Raw genomic sequence first — 20,695 nt, forward strand, 5'->3', positions numbered from 1 at the left:
TCTGAAGGACCTACCTGAGATGCCTGGGAAGCCTGGTGCTCCTGGGAGCCCAGATTTGCCCTTGATGCCATATGGACCACTAGATCCTGGGGTGCCTGGCTGTCCCACCTGTCCTGGTGTCCCAGGGCTGCCCCGCTCACCTTTGGGGCCTAGTAAGCCAGGCTTCCCGTGCACACCTGATAAAAGAAAAGGGCAAATGATCACAGCCTGGAGAGATAGCAGTGAGTGGGTCAGCAAACCAACTTCCAGGACTTATCCCAGGTGCCACTGTCTTCTCAGCTCCAGCCTTGTTGCTATTCCCAGCCGTAACCCAGTCTTTGCAAGAAATTTGACTATTAGTTATGGTCACTTTTGGAATTACTAAGACAGTAAAGTCGACTCAGGCTATTTAAGGAAAATTTCACAAAAGGGAGGGACAGAATAAAATATTTCATTTTAACCCCTTAATTAAACCATCACCCCAGATTCATGCAAGTATTCATGGAAGTATACGAATTAATATAAGGCTTTCTGTAGATTGTTAAATAATTGGGGCAAAAAGATTCACCCTTGAGTCCTGGAAGGCCAGAGTCTCCAAGAAATCCTTTGTGCCCTGTTAATCCTTGTAGGCCTTGTTCCCCCGGAGCACCATTTTCAGCACCAAAGATGTCACCAGTGGCTCCCTTGGAACCAGGTAAGCCTGGACTGCCAATCATCCCAGGCAAGCCATCTTTTCCAGGGAGCCCAGGAAACCCAGGCAAGCCCTTCTCCCCACGAGGTCCAGGAAATCCTAAACGTAAAAAGGCGAACATAAAAGACCATGGCTGTTTAGAAGCAATTTGTCTGAGTACAGATCTCTGAGACAGATTTTTCTAATATGAAAGCTAACATATTAATAATATATGTCACTTCTCTTGAAGGTCAGGAGTCTCTGTTCCTGCAAGGCCTTGTGCAGAGGCAGGGACTGTGCCCTGCGACCTGGAGGAGGTTCTAGTTCTGGGAGGCAGGGCTGTGGGCGGAGGTCCACAAACTGTTCCTGAGGGTCCTACAGTTGTTGAAGAACACACGCCACCCCATAGCATCCTGAGAAAAGTTCAACCTCTTCTGGAGTTCTCTAGCTTCTGCTGTCATGCCTCCTTCTTCTTGGGTGGGGAGAGGGTACTGGAGGGGACCCTGGAGCACATGGTCCAAGATGAGCCCCGAGCCCTAGAGCAGTGCAGTTCTCAAATCTGAGCAAGCATCACAATCACCTGGGGTAACAAGCAGATTACCGGGCCCATCCCCAGAGGTTATGATCAGCAGATCCTGTGGAGAGGCAGAAAATTTGCATTTCCATCAAGTTCCTAGGTGATGCTGATGCTGGCCCATGGAGTACAGTTTGAGGACCACTAGTACAGTGAAGAATCATGAAGCTCAAGTTGGAACAAGAGAGTGTGAGAAAAGGGATAGAAATGGACAACTTCCCTCTGACTGATCTCAATCTCTTTCACTGGCCCTTAAGGAGTTGATCCAGGAAACTCATAGAACTGGCAGACAGACAACCTGGCAGAGTCCTAGCTCTGTCACTAGTGGTTTAGTGATCTCGGACAAGTCATTTCCCATCTGGGCCTCAGTTTCCTCATCTGAAAGTTAAGGGGTTGCCCCAGCTGATTTTGAATGGTCCTTATTGCTCTAATATGCTGTCATTCTATGGCTGTATGCTGTGTCTTGCCAGGGTATAAAATTAAACAATCCTACCCACACCAGAGAGCAAACTTGGCTTCCTGTAATTGGCAGAGGACTACCACAACCCAAATACACACACACACACACACACACACACATACACACAAAGAGAAGCAGGTGAGGAGACACTCCTTTTCTTACCTGGTAATTCAGGAAGATGAACCAATCCTGGACTCCCTGGCTCTCCTTTACTTCCACTTGACCCAGGCTGGCCTGGGGTCCCAGGGAGGCCTCGAGACCCTTTAGGGCCTGAAAACCCAAATGTAAGCAATGAGGGGAAAGGAAAGTCGGTGTGCTAGGTATGATTTGTGATGTTCAGTCAAGAATCCCAGTCTCTTGGAGAGCCTCTCCTTGTCTCACCTCCCCACACTGCCCTCTCCAGCAGCCATCCTGTTTCCTCAATCCCCAAGGCTGCCCTCAGGAGGAATGTGGATCCCCAAATACTACTGGGCTATCCTCTGCTTCCTTTGCCTTATGGCCCTTACAAGAGTGTTTAGTGGCTTTCTCTGGCCTCATTCCATACCTGGGAATCCGGGAGTGCCTGGAAATCCTGATGGACCGTATGACCCAGGAATAATACAGGGCAGGGTGATTCCTGTAAATGGTAACATGTGTGCATTCAGTGAACCCAGAGTTAGGGAAGATTTCTCCCTAGTACGCTCCTTTACTTCTATTCCATTTAATAGGACAGCCAAGCTCTTCCCACTCAGCAGCTGGGAGCCCACACTGGAAAACCTTGGCATCATTAGCTCTGGGGAGTTACAACCAGTACAGTTGCTTACAGATGAGAATGCTCCTAGTGTCCAAGTGCTAGGATATCACTTATCAAACCACTGATGCCCAGTGGGCAAACAGTCACCTATGCAGCAGATGTTACCTAACAAGGTTTCTTAGAGATTGCCTGTGCAGGAACAGCAGCAAACAGCAATTGCCTACTCACCCTGCCCTCAGATAGAGCCTCTCCCTAGGATGGGTGTTGGGGGTTAGTCCTAAGGGTCCATTATGCTTATTTGACTAGATTGGAAGGTTTGAAGCCAAGATCCCTCAAGTTCTCATGTTTACCCTTTCCTTGGAATGAGGTTTTCCCCAAACCACTGGGTTCTTTTGATGCACTTCATTTGGGATCTGCTGAAACCTATTGATTGTCCTTGGTCAAATGTACCAGTATGACTGTACTATGCAAACACTTAAGACCACTCTCTTGTCCGTGACAGGCAAGTGGTGACCCTTCCCTCAGCTCCTTATTTGAAACTGTCAACTCTGCTGCTCAAGGAGAAAAAGTAGCAATTTTAATATTCAAGATGTCAAAATTGGCATGCATAGCCCTTCCCCTAGCAAATTCTCCCTTGCCCATTCATAATGCAAATAAAAAGAATCTATAAGATCACAGAGGGGAGGTTTAATAAAATACTGGTGAACAAATTGTTTGCGGGCTCCCTCAAGTGCCATTTACAAACAATTGCTATGCTAATTAAATAAGCCTTGCCTATTCATTAAAACAATCCCCCAAGGTCTGCTTTAAACCACAGAGCCAACAGTTTTAATAAACATCTATAGCTTTTGCCTGTACTTAAATCACAAATTACATTTCTGAAAAATATGTACACATCCTATGATTCAAACTGCTTACTGAACTCGCTGGCATCCTCCCCTGATCCCACTTCTATTTTCTTAAATCAAGGTTGGGAATTGAACAGTATAATGTATTGGTTAACAAGTTGGGCTCTGAAGCCAGACAGACCTTAGCTGGTATCCTAGTTCTGCTGCTAACCAGCTGCGTGGACAAGATACTTAAACCTCTCTGAGCCTCATGGCAAAATGGGAACTACTTCTACTTTTCTCATATGGTGTGTGTGAGGATTACATGAAACTGTGCACTTAGCACAGTGTCTAGCACTCTGGTACATGCTCAATTAATAATAGTTCTTATTATCTTGAACTATTATCTTATGTAAGAATGAGTACTCAGTAGAGCTCCTGCAAGGCCATCCTCAGGTTAGTGACACTGCTTGTAGTCTGGGCAGCACTTTCTGCCTTCCAGACTTCAGGTTTCTACAGTTATATTTCCAGAGGTGAACAGATGGCCATAGGCCTGGATCCTCCTCCGTAGGTGGTCAAACCCACCTCCACCCTGCCAGACATCAAGATGACAGAGCTATTTCTGATAGTTATTTCCCTACTATGGAAATATGCTCTACAGGTCAACACTTTATGGTGAGATGCTTCACTGGGAGGGGGTTTTCAACCTTGTGCTTGGCTCAGGCCTGGGCTCTTTGAGTTAGGCTGAAGAATTTCCTCCAGAGGGTGTATCATGAGAGGGATCCTGCAAAAGACTCTCCTGCCCTCAACAATCTCAATAGCTCATTGGCTCCAATGTGTCAAACTCTAACATTACAGTTCCATTGTTTTACGTCTTAGGAAACAAACTTAGTAAAATAAAAATATCCCTGGGCTGGGTCCAACTATTAAGCCATTCATCCTTAATTTATCAGACTGATTTAATTGCTTCTTTTCATCTGTGACAGCCAGATAAAAACAAAGCCTTTAGAATATGAAGCTGAGGACAGGCATCCAGAAAGGTTCCGGGATGAGAAAAACAATGGTCAAAGGAAAGATGGTTAGAAACCAGAGGAAATCAACGACATATTTCTCTCAATAATTTTGTCTTATGCCTGTATGCCACACCACACTTGTGTATTGTAAGCAGAGGTTCAAAATGGTGAGAGGGAAGGACTTCAAGTCATATTGGTATCTGGCTCTTTTCCTTTATACTGTCTTCTACTTTACATTCCTGAATTCAGAGCCTTCTCAACAAAGCAAAAATCTGCTCTACCCATGTTCTGTTTAGTAATTGCAACAAATGACCTAATTATTCAGAATTTTTCCCATTAATGCCCAAATCCATCTTCAGAATAAAAAGAGTCTCTGGTTCCCAAGATTTTAACATCCCAATTTGTTCTGGGCCCAATGAATAAAGTTCAGACATGTGTGGATCCTTTCAGGTACCTCTCAAGGCAGATTATGGCCCCAGTGAAGTTCAGAAAATGAATTTGCTTAAGGTAGAGATCAGCCAAGCTATCGACATGCATGGTGAAGGAAATCAGCCCCTCTCAGAGACTGCATGCCCACTCAATCCCGTACTGCCTGCTGTAAGAGGTATGTGCTAAGGAGCCTCTGAAGCAGTGTTGGTGTCAGCCTTTGCATCCCAGCCTTAGACTCCCCACTCCCCAAACAGGGCATCCAGTGTGGTGCTCAGGCCATCGTGACTGTCTGAGACAAAGGTAAACAAAAAAGGGGTGTTTAGCTAAGACTAGTGTCTGAGAGCTTGTAGACCTAGCTAGCTCTCACCTCTCTCTGTGTCTAAGTCTCCTTTACCAACCTCTCTACAGCAGCAGTCACCTAGAGCAATCAAGTGAAGAAGAAAATTAAACTAGGACAGAAGTTCCTTGGGGCCCAAGGGAAGTCTTCTCAGCAGCCCAGATATGCCCACCAACCAAATCCCTTGTCTGAACTTAGTGGAGAGCACTTGCACCCACATGAGATCAAGCACACAGTCACCACAGTTCAGTAATAACCAGGGTGATTGATTACTATGAGCATCTGGAACAGAGCCTCTTTGGAAATAGCCAGTTGTCTGCTTGCCCAAAGTTTTTAATAATTCACACTAGTAGGCTGAAAGGCTTCTGATGATTGCATCCTCTTTCCTGGCAATGCAGCTGTCCTAGTCTGGGCTACCATTGATTGGAGTGGGCACATTCAGGAATAGCATCTTAGTTTTTTTCTAGCAACAGAAATGGCTACAATGCAAATGTGTGGGGACCACAGGTTATTTGTTTTTAAAATTGTGCAGAAGAAAGGTAGGTTTGAAAAATTATATTTGTTTGTCATAGAGAGAAAAAGAAAGCTAATGCTCTTTATTAAAGTAATTTCTTGAAACTCTTCATACTGCAAGAAGGACATGGCTATGGTTTGAATATGATTTGTCTCCACCAAAACTCATGTTGAGACTTGGTTTCCAGAGTGGCTGTGTTGGGAGGTGGTGCTTCTGAGAGGTAATTAGGTTGTTAGGATGGATTAATCTCTTTCTCGGGAGACTGGGTTATTTCTCAAGGGAATGGATTAGTTCCCACAAGAGCAGGCTGTTATAAAGCAAGGTTGCTTTAGTGTTTGGACTCTTTTGCATATGCCCTTCTGCTTTCCACAATGAGTTGAAGCACAAGGCCCTCAACTGATGGGCTGCCCAATCTTGGACTTCCTAGCCTTCAGAATCATGAGCTAAATAAACCTCTTTTCTTTGTAAATTACCCAGTCTCAGATCTCCTGTTGTAGCAACAGAAAATGGAATAAGACAAACATTTTCTGCATAAGGCATCTCCCAGGCTATAGCTTACCATATCATATTCCTAATAACTTTCTGTATCCAGGGACTAGTGATGTTTGGGATAAAAATGGTCCTGCAAGCTTCCTTCTGTTCACTCAGCTGGTTCTCAAATAGTTAAAATGTTGCTAATAGCCAGAAGACTTGGAAGTGTGTAAGTTTATAGGTGTCATGTTATTATAACTCAGTTTAAAACCTTGTTGCTTGCAAAATGGTTTAACCTACAATGAAGACCCAATTACGGGAGGAGCAGTAGAATGACCATGAGTAATGTCTCTGGGAACAGAGCTAGAAGCAAAGCTATAGCTGACACTAGGACTTCCAACAGGCAGAATGATTTTATTTGCTAAATCCTTATGGCCAGGAGCAGTGGTTCACATCTGTAATCCCAGCATTTTGAGAGGCCAACGCGGGTGGATCACTTGAGGTCAGGAGTTTGAGACCAGCCTGGCCAACATGGTGAAAGCCTGTCTCTACTAAAAATTCGAAAATTATCCAGGTGTGGTGGAGGGTGCCTGTAATCCCAGCTACTCAGGAGGCTGAGGCAGGAGAATCGCTTGAACCCAGGAGGCAGAGGTTGCAGTGAGCCAAGATCATGCCACTGCACTACAGCCTGGGTGAGAGTAAGACTTCATTTCAGAAAAAAAAAAAAAAGGAAAATGTCCTTACAACCTTCACAATAATTTGTGAAATGATATATTGACTCGGTTTAAAGAATCTTGAATTATCAAGTTTTAACCTGTACCATCTACCATCAACCTTATTACACCGATTCACAAAAATAGATTTGGAAATAAATAAAATTTTGCAAGACCTGGTATCCTGTCTTCTTTTATTGTAATTCTTCAAGATGATAAGGTGGAAACAGGAGAAATATGTTTAAGAAATAGCCCCTTGGTTATTGGGAAGGCTCTTTCTTCTGCAAACAAATATTAGTCTCCTATGGAACACTGCACTATGCTAGGCATGTAAAGAAACTCTAAGAAGTATTACCATCCCTAGTATCAAGAGACTTACAATGCAGTTGGGGAAAGTAAAAGCAGTAATAGAAGGAGATATATAATTTAAGTAGCAATGACATACTGTGGAGGTCAAGGGAAAGCTTAATGGAAGAAGTGGGGTTTATCTTGAACCCTGAAAGAGGAATATGATATGACTACACAAAGAGGAAGAGCACTCCAGGAAAAGGCAACATGGTAAAATTTTGGAGCTGGAAGTGAACATATTGTGTTTGGGTATAGTGAAGAAGACTGGTGTCTTAGTTTTTTTGTTTCAATTAAGAGCATGATATAAGGTTGAAAAAGTTGGTTGTATCCATGTTTGGAGACTTTTGAATTCCAAGTTGAGGAGTTTGGACATTATATGATCTCTGTTCAATTGGTACCATATGTGGCTTTGAACTAGGGGAGTTACATGATATTGGCACTTTACAGATATTAAATTGGCTGCAGTGTTCTTAATAGAATTGAATGTAAAAACTACTTAGGAAGTTGTTGTCATTCACTCACTCATCTATCCATCCATCCAACCATCCACTTACTCCAACAAGCATATAGGTATTTGAAAAACTAGGCATGAGATAATGAGAGTTTAGTAGCAATAAGAGAAGGAAAGAATATAAGAGGAATTGCAAAGGAAATAAGAGATAATCTCAAAATTTTAAACTTCAGATTATTATAAGTGTGGTGTCACTAATGGAAGCATAGAAGTTGTGGAAACCCAAAAGTTGGGATGAACAGCTGTTCTGGCTGTATTGAAGAAGATTAGTTATTAGCATAGCACCTTCATAAACTATAAGCAGGACTGTTACACATAATTTCTAAAATTCAAGTAGAAAAAGAAGTTATATAAAGAGGAAGGAGTTAAGGGATAAAATGGGGGATTAGACTATAAGCAACTAGATTTCTGCCCAATCTGAGATTCCATGAGTTGAGGAAAGGTTTTTCCCAGCTGATGATATTACCACACAATTTAGAGGGCACCTTGTCCAATCTCCCACTCATTGCTTTGATGACATTTGCAACAAGTGGTCATCCATCTTCTTCTTGAACTCTCCCAGGGATTATGAGCTCATAACCTCCCTCAGTAGCTCTGTTACATTTTCAGACTGCTCTGGTAGGAAGTTCTTCACGAAGTAGGGTGGAAATCTATGTTATTCTGCCCCCTAAGCTTACCACAATACAATTATAATACTTTTTTTCACATGCAAATCCTTCAGGGGGTTGAAAGTAGTGATTATGGTCAGACAAGTCTCTTCTTATGATACATTTCATGCACCTGAGTCATAACCACTCTACAAGGGGTCAAATTTCCAAGTCCAAAGCCATCTGATTCTATGACTCACCCTTAGATCCGGGAAGGCCTTGTTGTCCCGGTAATCCATCCTTGCCTTTATCTCCAGGAAGCCCACGGGGTCCAGGAAGTCCTGGTAACCCATTTCCTGGGAGGCCAGGTGGACCAGGATGGCCTTTTTCACCAGGAAGTCCAGGTAACCCCTTTTCACCTGGGAAGCCCTGTCCACCATCACCCTAGACAACATATAAAACAAAGAATGAAAATTCAACTCAGAGATTTATCTGGACAGTCCTCTGACTACAGGAAAGAGGTAGCCAGTGTGACCAATGCTTTGTGTTTTGTTAAAATTATCTATCATCACCATAGTTTATCTATCAGTCTCCTCTGACTTTAGTTAGTGGATATGAATCTTGTCTACTCTGGGTGATCTAACAACACAAAAGTTTCTGGATAGGGGTGAGGAGACAGGGCAAGAAATGAGCAGGATAATAACAACCCCAGAGATCACAGAAAGTGGCTAGATTACTTGAGGAGAAAAGTCACTGAGAAGCTGAAGTATTTTTAAGTCATATGGTCAGGTGTTACTAGCATTTATCAAATGAGACAATGATCCATTCTGAGAAAATGATTCCCACTTTACATAAAGGAAAAGCAAAAAGCAAAAAGTTTCAGTGGCAGAGGCAGGGCAAGGTCCTCTAGACTCTGTTCTTCCCTGTTTCATGGTCCAGTGGCCATCAGACCCCCCAACAAAGTCAGGTGTGAAGATCTGTAGAGCTAATCACCTAGGAACGATCAACTTACCGGAAGGCCTGGCAGACCTGGTAAACCTGGTACTCCGTCCTTGCCTGGTTCTCCTATTACACCACGGAAGCCCTGGGAGCCAGAATCACCCCGATCTCCTGGCATTCCTTGGATTGTACTGAGAATTGGTTCCCCCTTCTTTCCTTTGGGTCCTGAAGGACCCAGAGGCCCAACTAAGCCCTGACAAAGAAAAGAGAGAAGAGGGAGTAGTCAGAAGATGTAGACTTCATAGAATTCCGGCACCTAGCATTATGACTTAGAGCAGAACCTTGGGTACATATTGGCACTGTTCTAGACACTGATTATGTTGTAATCTTGAATAATAGTTGCCCATTTATTTCTGCACCTTTTGTAAATTTTGAAATCTTTGAAGATGTAAACCTCACCTTAATTCCTATTTTATCTTCATGGGCCAGCACATTGCTAGGCAAAGGTAAACAATGTTGTGGAAGGAAGAAATTGTGGAAAGAGAAAAGGGAAAATAGGTAGGTTAAAGCAGAAAGGACTTTAAGAGACTCTATAGTCAGATTTCATGTTGTAGATCAAAACCCCAAAACTTTGTTTTAATCCCATCTCTCTTGTATGTGCTTTAGAAAAGTAACTGGGGGGATTGAAGGGCACTTGAAAGATTCCATTGCTTCCTCAGGGTCAAAGTTTGGCAAGACTTACTGGAGCCCCTGCTGGGCCCTGTGCACCCCCAGAGCCTCGATCTCCTCTGGCTCCTTTAAGGCCTGGAAGGCCTATGAGACCCCATGGACCAGGTGGGCCTGGTTCCCCGGGTGGTCCAGTGTTGGGAACACCACCGTCACAAGCACAGAAACCTGAGTCTCCTGGGAGAAAAAGACAACATAGAACGAAGTGGGTCATTTTTTTCCAAGAAGAATAAAGAATTGATCATGGTTATTTGTGACTTGAACAACTCCATAGAGGGAATCTGAAGGCTTGCAGAGAACACACTCAAATGAACTTGGTTCACTCTCCAGCAGAGTATGTCTGTGTTAGTGGTTCAGATTTTGTTAGTCAGGGATGAGGCTCAGCCATCAGTGAGTCTAAAGTATAGCCATAGTTGAGAACCACTGACCTCTACTAACCAGCTGAGAGTCTGGAATTCAAGCCGCTCAAAGATTTTCTTTACCAAAATGTCTTTTCCCCTGACTTTTGTACATATGACACAAATGTGTACATATTTTTGTAAATGTTGAGACAAATGCCAAATAAATAATGATAGGGATTTCAGCAAAGCACCTTTGAAGAGGTATCAAGGAGTCACTAGCACTATGTTCTAACTCCCTATATCTTCCATGCTTATTGTCTGGAAAATAAGAATTGGTGCCAACATAGGTGACCCTGAGTTTCCCTAAGATTCTGAAGGGCCCCTTCTTACTTTAAGAAAATTGATGATTCCTAAAACTCTAAGAGAATAGTCTGTTCTTCAGATTAGTGTTTCTTGAGTGTGATCCTGCATGAATCATCTGTGATGCTTATTTATAAGGCAGCTTGCTGGGTCCTATCTCAGTCCTAATCGATCAGTCTCAGGAGGCCAGACCAAATAATCTAATTTTTAATAACCTCCCCTGGGTGATTCTCATGTATAATGAAGCTTGATAATCCCTATCACTATTCCATACTTAGAGAAAATCTTTCAGCCCCATGGAAATACAGAATGGGGAGCATCAGAAATGTCCCTCTTTTAGGACTGTGAATGGTATCAAGAAATACATCAGCTTTGTAGTGAGTTAGGTAAGGGCCAAAATTAACATCTAAGTTAACTTAATGCCCTTTTCCATCAAATAGTTTTCCTGGGACCTGAATAGCAGAGAACAAGCTTTCAGGCATTTCTTAACCAGACTCTATATACTTAGGTAATGACATTTTATGATGGAGCAATGAGAAAGGAGAGGAGTAAGTTAGAACATCTCTGTTTGAGGCTGAGGAAAGCAGTTCATTCCTAGAGATCTTGCATAACTGAACCCTAGGCCATCCCAAAACCCCTCTTCAGTCAGTAGTTTCACTTCTTCCTTCCCCTGGCCTAAGCCACAACCATAATTAATTGACTTATTGAGCATCTTCCCCTCAGAGTAAGTGATAGAAGGGGGAAATGACCCAAAGGCAGCTGTGGTCATTGATCAGTTCTCCAACACCAGTGGGGGCTAGGGTTGTTCTCCTGGAGCCAGTTGGGTTTTTCAGAGTCCCAGGTCTTGACCTGTTTAGAGCACTTTGCTTAAGGCTGAAGGTAATAAGTGGCTTACATCCTTGGTTTTGCAAACTGGGAGGGGTAGCAGCATGCACTGGTTAACAGCCTGGGCTGCAGGTGGAGGAGAAAGAAAAAGAAGCCTGTGAGCAACTTGGTCCTGTGTGACCTCCATTGCCAGCCTCAGTCTTAGAGACCCAAATATAGCACTTCTAACAATCCTATAATCAAAGCCCCAAACAAGATCCACAGTTGCTTCTGTTTAGGTTCCCGAGGCTGTTGGTTTTCTCATTCCCCAGGAAGCCTTCTCTAAGGAGTTTGGAGGACCAAGAAACTCAAGGGGACAAAATCACCTTTTATTCCTTTGAGGCCTAGGTTTCCTTTTGGACCTTGTTCTCCTCGGAGACCAGGGAACCCTGACTCTTTGTTGTGTAGAGTTTCAGTCTCAAATTCTGGACCTTTGGGTAAAAAAAAGATAAAGGATTAGCAACTTGTATAAGCCTGATGACTTCCCTGACTCAACACAGCAGCTCAATCACCAAGGCCCAAGTCCTTGAGGCTGAACAACAGAGCAGAGACAAAAAAATAAAATTCAAGACCGGGACCCCAAATCTGCAGCAAGGAGTCAACAGGACCTCTGTTGGCTCAATTCACTCTACTAATATTTACAGAATGTCCATTATGTTCCAGGCACCGTATTAGACAGTGGGGTTAGAGGAATGAACAAGGTAGCTTCCAAAACTCAGCAGTCCCAATGTCTACCCCAGAAACCTCCCCTAGGACAAAAGAGGAAAGAGGTGCAAGCCGCAGTGGACATGGGCTTTAAGGTACAGAGAAACATTCTGGGCAACATTTCCAGCTTTTCTCTCAGAATCTAGAATCTCACACTCAAGTAGGAGATCTAAGAAGGATAAGCCCTGTGTAGGCTTTTAGCAGCCACCTCGAGGGTCCAGGCTTGGCTTCTTTTTTTCTCAGTCTCTCAGCCCACCCCATTGGAGCCTTGTGGACCAGGGCAAGCTCAAAAGAACCAATCCTGCTTCTTTAGGAGCTGAAAAAACAAAGGCTTAAGGGCTGAGAACAGTGAAAGATGGAGTGGGAATGGGTACAAAACTTGGAAGGCATTAGGCCCTAGTTTGCTTGTTCCTTGATGGAGAACACTCTGCTGTTATCAATAACTGGTAGAGGCAGGGATCTGACTCAGAGACGACGGGGCCTTCATGGCTGCCCCTCTGCAATTATCATGTATCCTGGCTTAGCTGTTTCACCTGTGAGATGCCCCCTCAAAAATCATGACTGTTCTGCAGTCTGGATCACATCTGAATCTTGAGACCAAAAAGAGAAATGAGTAACTTACTAGGTGGGCCTGGTGGACCTGGTGGGCCTGGCAAACCATCTCTGCCAGGGAGGCCAGCTGCTCCAATTGTGGTACGGCCTGGGTTTCCTTGGTCCCCCTTCAGCCCTGGAAATCCCTGAGGCCCTAGGGCTCCTGGGACACCTGGAAGAATAAGCCCACACACAAATGCTCATTATATCACCTTACTCTCTGGAGTATTCCTATCTGTGGCATATGTTGGAAACAAATCCAAGGAAGAATTTAGGGAAGCATTTGCCCTTCTCTTGTATCAGAGTTAGAAGGATCCTTAGGGATCAATTAGCCTAACCTCTTGGGAAACAGAGACCCAAAGAAGAGAGGAAACATGATCAGGGGCCCAGCATTTCTCAGTGGCAAACCTGAGAGGAAAATCTGGGTCTCTAGCCTTTCATTTCTTGATTTTTTTCCAACTTGGTCCTGGGGCCAGCTGTACCATTTCCAGGTGGCTGCTTTAAAAACATAGGTATCCTCACAGCAGCCCATCTCCAAGGAATTTAGAAACTGGTGGCTTTAAAAGTAAAAGTTGAACTTTATATCTGGGGCATCACTGCCTCCCAGACTCTGGCATGCCCTTTTCCCACATGTCACTATAGAATGACATATGGATGTGATTAGTTCAAGAGTGTTACCCACAAGATCCTGGGACCATTCAGTGCCTGGCTGAATCCTACAGCAAGGTTCTGGGTACAAATCTTCCTCTGGGCTTTTGCTAGCCCCTCTTGGCAAGCATCAGCTGGGATGGCACATCCACAGGAGGGTGACACAGCTCCAGCAACTCAACCCAGGACTCCTCTTGTTGCTGCAAACCTCAGTGACAGTCTAGGATTGCCTGTCCAGCTATGATACATTATTTAAGCCAAAAACAAAAGCTGCTCACCCAGGCCCTCACTACCCCCACATACGTTAGCCTTGGGCTGGCAGTCGGGAACCTACTGACTACAGTCTACCTCTTGTTTGACTTTGGCTAGGTGTGTGCCCCGACCCAGAGGTATAGAAGGGAATGCTGGGAACCACAGTGTATAGAGGACTGATCTGTGTAGGAAATGGGTTAGTTTTTTTCACCTGATAATGCTGGCAATCCAGGGACACCAGAAGGGCCACGTAGGCCTTGGATGCCTTCATCTCCTTTAAGGCCTGGGAGGCCAGGTACACCAGGATCTCCAGGATTACCTGGCATTGTAATGAAAGAAAATAGTAAATAAAGACAGAGGAGGCCCACAGATGCTACAAAATGCCCAAGAAGAGGTGCAGGAGCTGTCCTGGCATTAGAAGTGCCTTTCATGCCTTTCCCAAGTCTCTAATGCTAATGGCCTCACATGATAATGGGTCTTCTGGAGCCAAGGGGCCTTCTGGAGCCAAAATTAGTGTACTAAGAATTGTTCTGGCCAAGGCCTGCCTTTCATGATAAGCTCTGGTAAGTACTTCTTCTTCTTCTACCACTAATCTGCTGTAATGCCTAAAATGTCTACCATTTGGATTAAGATGTTGAAGTCCACTATTTACGTTATACATATATGTTTCCTGGGAGTGGTACACAGGAAGCCACTGTCAAATATTAATACCAAACAGGGCATGGGCCTTAGAGGATGAGAGGAGAGGGATAAGTTGGAAGATCCATGGAAGAGTCACTACAGTAGAAGCCTTTGGTCAAACAAGAGGTAGCTGGAGATACTGGGCATCTCAGTCTTTGGAGAAGGTAAAGGGAAGAGTTGGGCACACAAAATAACTAGGACAAGGAGAGGTGAAGACAGACTTTCTAAGCATCACACTCTTGAGGGCTCTCAGCCACTTGCTCCCCTAACTAAAGGTACTTTTCCACTTCCTATGAAATTGTCAAGCTCAAGCATACATGGAATCACCTACATGAGGCCCTGAGTATTCCATAGTATCAAACTGAAGTCAGCCCAGCTTGGGGGTGGTTATCAATCCTTCCCAAAGCATTGCCAGGAGAACCATTTTCATCAAATTCAGGCCCAGGCAGACCCAAATCCTAGGCTTAGTGGACTGAACACAAAAATGGGGTGCTGGGCTTGGCTTCCCTGACCAAGAGATTGGAGATAGCTTTATTCCCCAAGCTCAGGAGCCATGAGGGGCTCTTGGGTGTGTCAAGTTTAGCAACAATCGAGTAACTAACAAAGTATCCTTTTAATAATTACAGGGGATATAGGATTTAACTTCCTGTCTTTATTTTCCACTCAAATTAATGAGAAGTTGCACCTGAGATCACAGCACCATCTATATCGATGAAAACATCTGGGCCTGGCAGGCCAATGTCACCCTTTTGACCCTGCAAAGATTAAGTACATTAAACACAAATATTTCCATTTCCTTATTACCCAAGATCTATGTGCCATTAAAGCCCATCCCTAGGAAAATGAAAGGTTCTTCCTTCTATAACCCCAGATTTTCAAGATCAACTAGTCCATAGGTTAATTTCAAAGTCCCATAAATTTAAGATGAAGGTGACACAAAGCAGGCCAGAGGCCTAACATTCAATTGGAAACCTGTCAAGGACAAGGGATCCCAATTTTATTTTGCAACTCTACTCAAGGACAGTCTGCTCTGGGCCTTGGCTGTACCTAAGTAGTGCTAAGGAGAGAACAGAGTTTTAACTTTTTTCCACTCTCAACAGGCCTGGGCCTCTACTACCATCACAACCCTTGTTAGTGGATGATGTCAGGCAGAGGAAATTAAAGGAATTCTAATACTCCCCAAAGAGGGATTTAGGTACCAAAAACACATACAGTGGCATATTCAGGGTGTGATGGTGGCAGTTATATGCTCCAGGTGTAGGCAAAAAGGGGATGCATTGTCTGTAGAGAATTTAAAACAATAGTGAAACCAACAGTTGGCAATTCTAAGCAATATGAATAAAATTTTCCTCATCTTCGGGATGAACTTGCTCCCACCAGCTCCTGCCCCTTAGTTTACCACTGATCAAGTAGTATCTAAGAAATGCTCATTAGCAGCTTTGTGTGTTCAAAGCAGATTACATGCATTTCTTAAGAAAAAATTGAAACTTAAAAGGTCAAAATATTAAAAATACTTCATCTTATATACAGACATTTGTGGTAATTCACTCTTCTACCTACCAACCCTGGATTTTTCACTTCCCAACATTACCTCAATTCCTTGGAATCCATTAAGCCCAGGAAATCCCAGGGTCCCTTTCTTGCCCTGTGACAGAAACATAGTTACCACTAAGTGGAAAGTATGAGAGCATAAGAGAGTCTGGTCTTTGGATTAAGCCAGGGCAAATGGCACAGGGATCTTGGATGACATTGCAGGGTATATGTGGCTTCTATCTGACTCTGGAAGCTGTAAAATCTTCCAGAAGACAATACGGCAGTAGGTAGCCAATTTACATATTAGGAGGTACAAGGGCCATAAGGCTAGACACGGATACAAGCAGGCTGGCCTTGCTAGTCCCTGACAGCATGCCAAAGATGTATGACCACAGCATGGCATGGCAAGGCACGGAATTTGACACTGGATACCCATGTTCTTGAGTGAAAAGAAAAGAGGACAGTGGCTAAGATTATACCAAAAAAAAGGGAGATGAACAATTTGCATTATAAGTAATGTCTCCCTTTGGCCATGTTAGGTAAAGCAAGGGGGACTTTTGATTGGGATTTTATACCCCAAGGCTTTAATGATATTAACCAAAATACCTGTTGCCCTGGAGGGCCTTGGACTCCTTCTGAACCCATGGGACCCTGTAAAGAAAATAGTTACACCTTAGAAACAGCAATAGGCTACCTAGAAAAAGCCACTAGACTTATATAACAAAGTTATCCAACTGAGTTCAGGATTTAGCAGCTCCTAAAATCAGGTAAGCGAATGTTCCTAGACCTAGCTTAACGACTTTTTTTTTTTTTTGAGATGGAGTCTCACTCTGTCACCCAGGCTGGAGTGCAGTGGTACAATCTCGGCTCACTGCAACCTCCGCCTCCAGGGTTCAAGCGATTCTCCTGCCTCAGCCCCCCAAGTAGCTGGGGCTATAGGCGTGCGCCACCACGCTTGGCTAATTTTTGTATTTTCAGTAGAGACAGGGTTTCACCACATTGGCCAGGCTGGTCTCGAACTCCTGACCTCAAGTCATCCACCCGCCTTGGCCTCCCAAAGTGCTGGGATTACAGACATGAGCCACCGTGCCTGGCCTAATGACTTCTTTCTAAGCTCTAATCCATCAGGCTAAATAGCCACATGGAGCATTTTTTAATATCTAAATAAATGGAAACAGTTTAAGTAGTAGGTGGAATTTGATAGAAAGGCTGGGTGGTATTATACTTAGTCTGCATTAGTTCCAAGTCAGGAGATCTTTAAATAGATTATGGGAGGGCCTCGTCTTCCACCTCAAATGCATTCTTTGTTGGTGATTATATGTATTTTCAAGACAAGGAGCGGGGGAAAGTAGAGAAAGAAATGGCAGGGTAATGGATAAGTATGGCTGAATACTCAAAAGACTCTTACTAAACTTCATAGTCAACTTAACAACACAATTCTCTAAAATGTTACTTCTTTGAGGCTAAGCTTGGCCCACTGCTTCTAGCTCAAGACCTAAGTGCCCGAAGCTAGGAATCAGAGAGGCTAATAGTTATTTTTCCATTTCAAATGAGATTATTATTGGAAACTGTTGACTCCAAACATCACTCACTATGTTCTAGAACTTTCCAGGCTTGTTTCTGTCCTATAAAGGTTGCACTTGGCCCTCTTTCTTCCATTCCTGTGCCACTTCCCTGCTCAATTCCCTCAGAATAGAATGGAATGAAAGCAAGGCAACACTTGCCTTGCTTTCTTTAGCAATCATTCTTTCTTGGTATCATTCTTTAGCCCAGAAGACAATGATACATGAGAGCAAGGAGATGAATAGGCTGAGGAGCCACCTAGAGTAGGGGGTGCCTCATTCCTTTTCAAGGGAGCCATTCAATCAAGGGAATGGGGCTAAGAGAGAAGGAGGTCTTAGGAACCTGCCATTGGGTTGAGGAGAAACGAGAAGCTTAGGTGGCAATCAAGTTGCAAAACATAAAGAAGCAAACAGGAAAGAAAATGGACTAGATGACTTGACAGACCCAGGCAAGTAACATTCGAGGTTCATACCCTAGGTCCTGGCAAACCAGGGATTCCCTTTTCTCCCTTTTCTCCCTTTTCTCCAGTAGTTCCAAGGCCCTAAATGAAAAAAGAAACCACAAGTTATAACGTTTGTTTTCTTGTCGGTCTCCTGGCTTCATCCAAAGCAAGGAGGCTATTTTAATTAAGCTCCACTCTCCCCTTAGGGAGGCTCACCATGCTGTCTCTTGTCACTGCCTGAGAAGCACATAGGGTCTGAATATAAATTGGACCATTCATTCAAGGTTCCCTTTTGGTTCTAGAAGTAATGTCTCCCCCTACCCACAACACTGTTCCATGTATTTATAGTATCATGGGCTAACAGTATAGAAATGATTAAATATCTAACCTTGTTGATTTTACAGATGAGGAAACCAACATCTAGATGGGTTAAAAATGAATGAGAAAGCCATATCTTGTGTTTTTCATTCCGGGGACTTTTCCATTAAAACAAGCTGCCTTCTATCATCTAGGAACTTGATGATTTGACCCACAAATGGAGGATTATGCAAATTCTTGGGGGTTGATACTAGGGGGAAGAGCAAGAGCTTTTCCCCTTTGGAGACATAATGAGCACAACATCCTTTTCAGTGGTAAGAAGTATTTCTATCTAGGCACGGACTGAAACCCTGCAGCTCCTGTACTGGGACTGTAGGGCTCTTGCCTGGCCCTAGAGATAGTCCAAAGGGGACTGTGAGATGGTCTCCAAGCCCTCTTGCCCTGCTCATCAGAGGTGAGGGTTTGTAGCCATGAATATGACTTGGGGATTCTCTAGGGAAAAGCAGGAACTCCAAGAAGCAGAGTGAGTAAGAGAGAACTTCCCTCTGGGTCCAGGGAAAATGTCTGGGCCCCCAAGATACAGAATAGTTCAGTACTAAAGTGAATAATGTTTTTCACAGAAAACTTAAATGAGGCCACTTTGTTGTTGTTTAAAATTGTACTTTTTGGAGCATAGATTTAGCAAACAACATCTTGGCTTATTATGAAAGTAAAGGAGGCAATGAAGAAAAGGCACTAAATGTTGTGGAACATCTGTTGTCCCTTTAATGTGACCTGGCTCACCTGCTCAAATCCCATTTGTACCTTTTTCTTCCTTTTACATACATACTCAGTGCACTCCCATGAGTACTGAAAGCTGGTTAAGGACCCCTTGGCTTTCTGGGCCCAGGGTTTTTCATTTCTGTTTCCTTTTGGCTAGTCATGTTTTTGTTTCTTTAATGTGGGTTGTTTTCATTGTCTTTTTATTGGGAGGAGTGTGTGTGTGTGTGTGTGTGTGTGTGTGTGTGTGTGTAGGATCCAATTCAAAGCAGGCTTTGGTCCCGTACTTACCTGTTCTCTTTTCTGCATTTAGTATAACTGTGCATCAAATAGCTCAGCCTTCATGCTACATTAAATTTCTAATGTGAAAGGCTCGTGGGTTAAACTGAATGCAAACTTATTTAAAATATGAGTTTTTCTGCATCAAACCAAGGCATGCTGCGACTTGGTGGAATGTCTATTGGCTTCTGAGGTCAAACGCTTCAGGAAGCCTTCTCTGACCTGTCCATGAAATCTGTGGCAGCCCATGCTGCCCGAAACTCTTAAAGTGCAAAGAATGGTTGCATATGAAAGTTTTGTAAGCATGAGACCTATATTACACTCTCTTTTATCTTTCTCCAAGGCCCATTACTACAGTCTGAACACATACAAGGTGGTCCAGTAAATACTTGTTGAACTGAATGGAATAATGGCCAAGAGAACAAAACTGTTGCAAAGGGTGAAGGAAATGATGTTCAGGAACCATCTTGTGCCCCCATCTATCTTGCCCTCAGTTGTAAATATAAGGGGGCCTTGTACTCCTTCTCCAGAAAGCAGAAGAGTCTTGCTTTCTCAGAGGGCCTGAGAGCTTATGCTATAGTGTGAACAAAAATAAATATGTAAAAAAAAATGTAAAAAGGAAAAAAAAAGACAAATTTGTGTGGGGGTTAGAGCCAAGAAAAGATAAATAGCTTGGCAAGACACTGGCTGTGCTGTAGGTTCAACTTGTCTCCCAGAATAGGGAGGCACTGTACAGGGACCCTGCTGAACAAGCTGTTCTAGCAAGATGCCCTGGGACTGGCCCCGTGACAGTCAGTCCTCCTCATGAGTAATCTTGCAAATGCTGCTCCCACACTCCTACTTACCCATGGCCTGGAAAGCCTCAATGGGGCTAGGTTAACTGTTTCCAGGCCTGCTCTCCTGGGCTCTGGACTCCTGATGCTCTTTGGTTCTCAGGAGGCTCAACTGAAGAACCCCACCTACCTAGTAGTTACCCCTACTGGGTAGGTGTGTGGGTAACTATTGACCTACTCAATAGTTACCTCAGGATTTGCCAGTTTCTTCTCTTATCCCTCCCCTCATCTATTCCATTTTTGCCTTCCCCTGTGTTTGCTAGTCCCTTGAACAGAGGGCACATGGATATACAATTCTCTCTGATGACCTCCATGGAAGGACCTGTGGCCTACAAGTGTGAGTGTGTTGCTGGAGACAATGGGATAAAATGTGTGAGGTGAGGACTGAGCCAGAAAATCAGGGATGTTTGGTCACTGCAGAGGGGCCAAGAGAAAGAAGGTAAGGGGCAAATCTGTCAGGTTGGGCACTTTGTCTCTTACAAAGATTTGGACTCATATAGGAAGAAAACAAATAGTTAAAAGGAACATTTTGGATTCCCTAGAGATTTCTGTCTTCAGTGCTGCCTTGTTTCTCGGTGAGTGTGGATAATTGAAAGCTGATGTGAAGGCTTTGGATTTGAGAAGCACATTTCCTCTGAAAAGCCCAGAGTATCACAAATACATTACCACCTTTCTCCTCATAACTTTTCTGTCAT

General features: G+C 43.7%; 1 protein-coding gene across 16 annotated transcripts in view; it reads right to left on the reverse strand.

The window, feature by feature from the left end:
* Positions 1-20,695, reverse strand: part of COL4A6 (collagen type IV alpha 6 chain) — a 283,845-nt gene that overhangs the window by 23,056 nt on the left and 240,094 nt on the right. For 9 of the 16 annotated variants that reach the window (XM_047441813.1, NM_001847.4, NM_001287760.2 and 6 more), the window contains exons 14-27: positions 17,842-17,910; positions 16,413-16,457; positions 15,865-15,918; positions 14,959-15,028; positions 13,804-13,911; positions 12,724-12,864; positions 11,723-11,827; positions 9,848-10,008; positions 9,179-9,358; positions 8,427-8,610; positions 2,228-2,299; positions 1,846-1,953; positions 548-769; positions 15-176 (exon numbers count right to left, since the gene is read on the reverse strand). In XM_047441813.1, the coding sequence (XP_047297769.1) occupies positions 15-176; positions 548-769; positions 1,846-1,953; positions 2,228-2,299; positions 8,427-8,610; positions 9,179-9,358; positions 9,848-10,008; positions 11,723-11,827; positions 12,724-12,864; positions 13,804-13,911; positions 14,959-15,028; positions 15,865-15,918; positions 16,413-16,457; positions 17,842-17,910 (1,681 nt within the window). Of the gene's footprint in view, positions 1-14; positions 177-547; positions 770-1,845; positions 1,954-2,227; positions 2,300-5,052; positions 5,104-8,426; positions 8,611-9,178; positions 9,359-9,847; positions 10,009-11,722; positions 11,828-12,723; positions 12,865-13,803; positions 13,912-14,958; positions 15,029-15,864; positions 15,919-16,412; positions 16,458-17,841; positions 17,911-20,695 lie in introns of all 16 variants that reach the window. The other 7 variants (XR_001755650.2, XM_011530852.3, XM_006724617.4 and 4 more) reach the window with 1 other exon arrangement.

This window comes from Homo sapiens, chromosome X (assembly GCF_000001405.40).
Source record: "Homo sapiens chromosome X, GRCh38.p14 Primary Assembly".
Taxonomy (NCBI): Eukaryota; Metazoa; Chordata; class Mammalia; order Primates; family Hominidae; genus Homo; species Homo sapiens.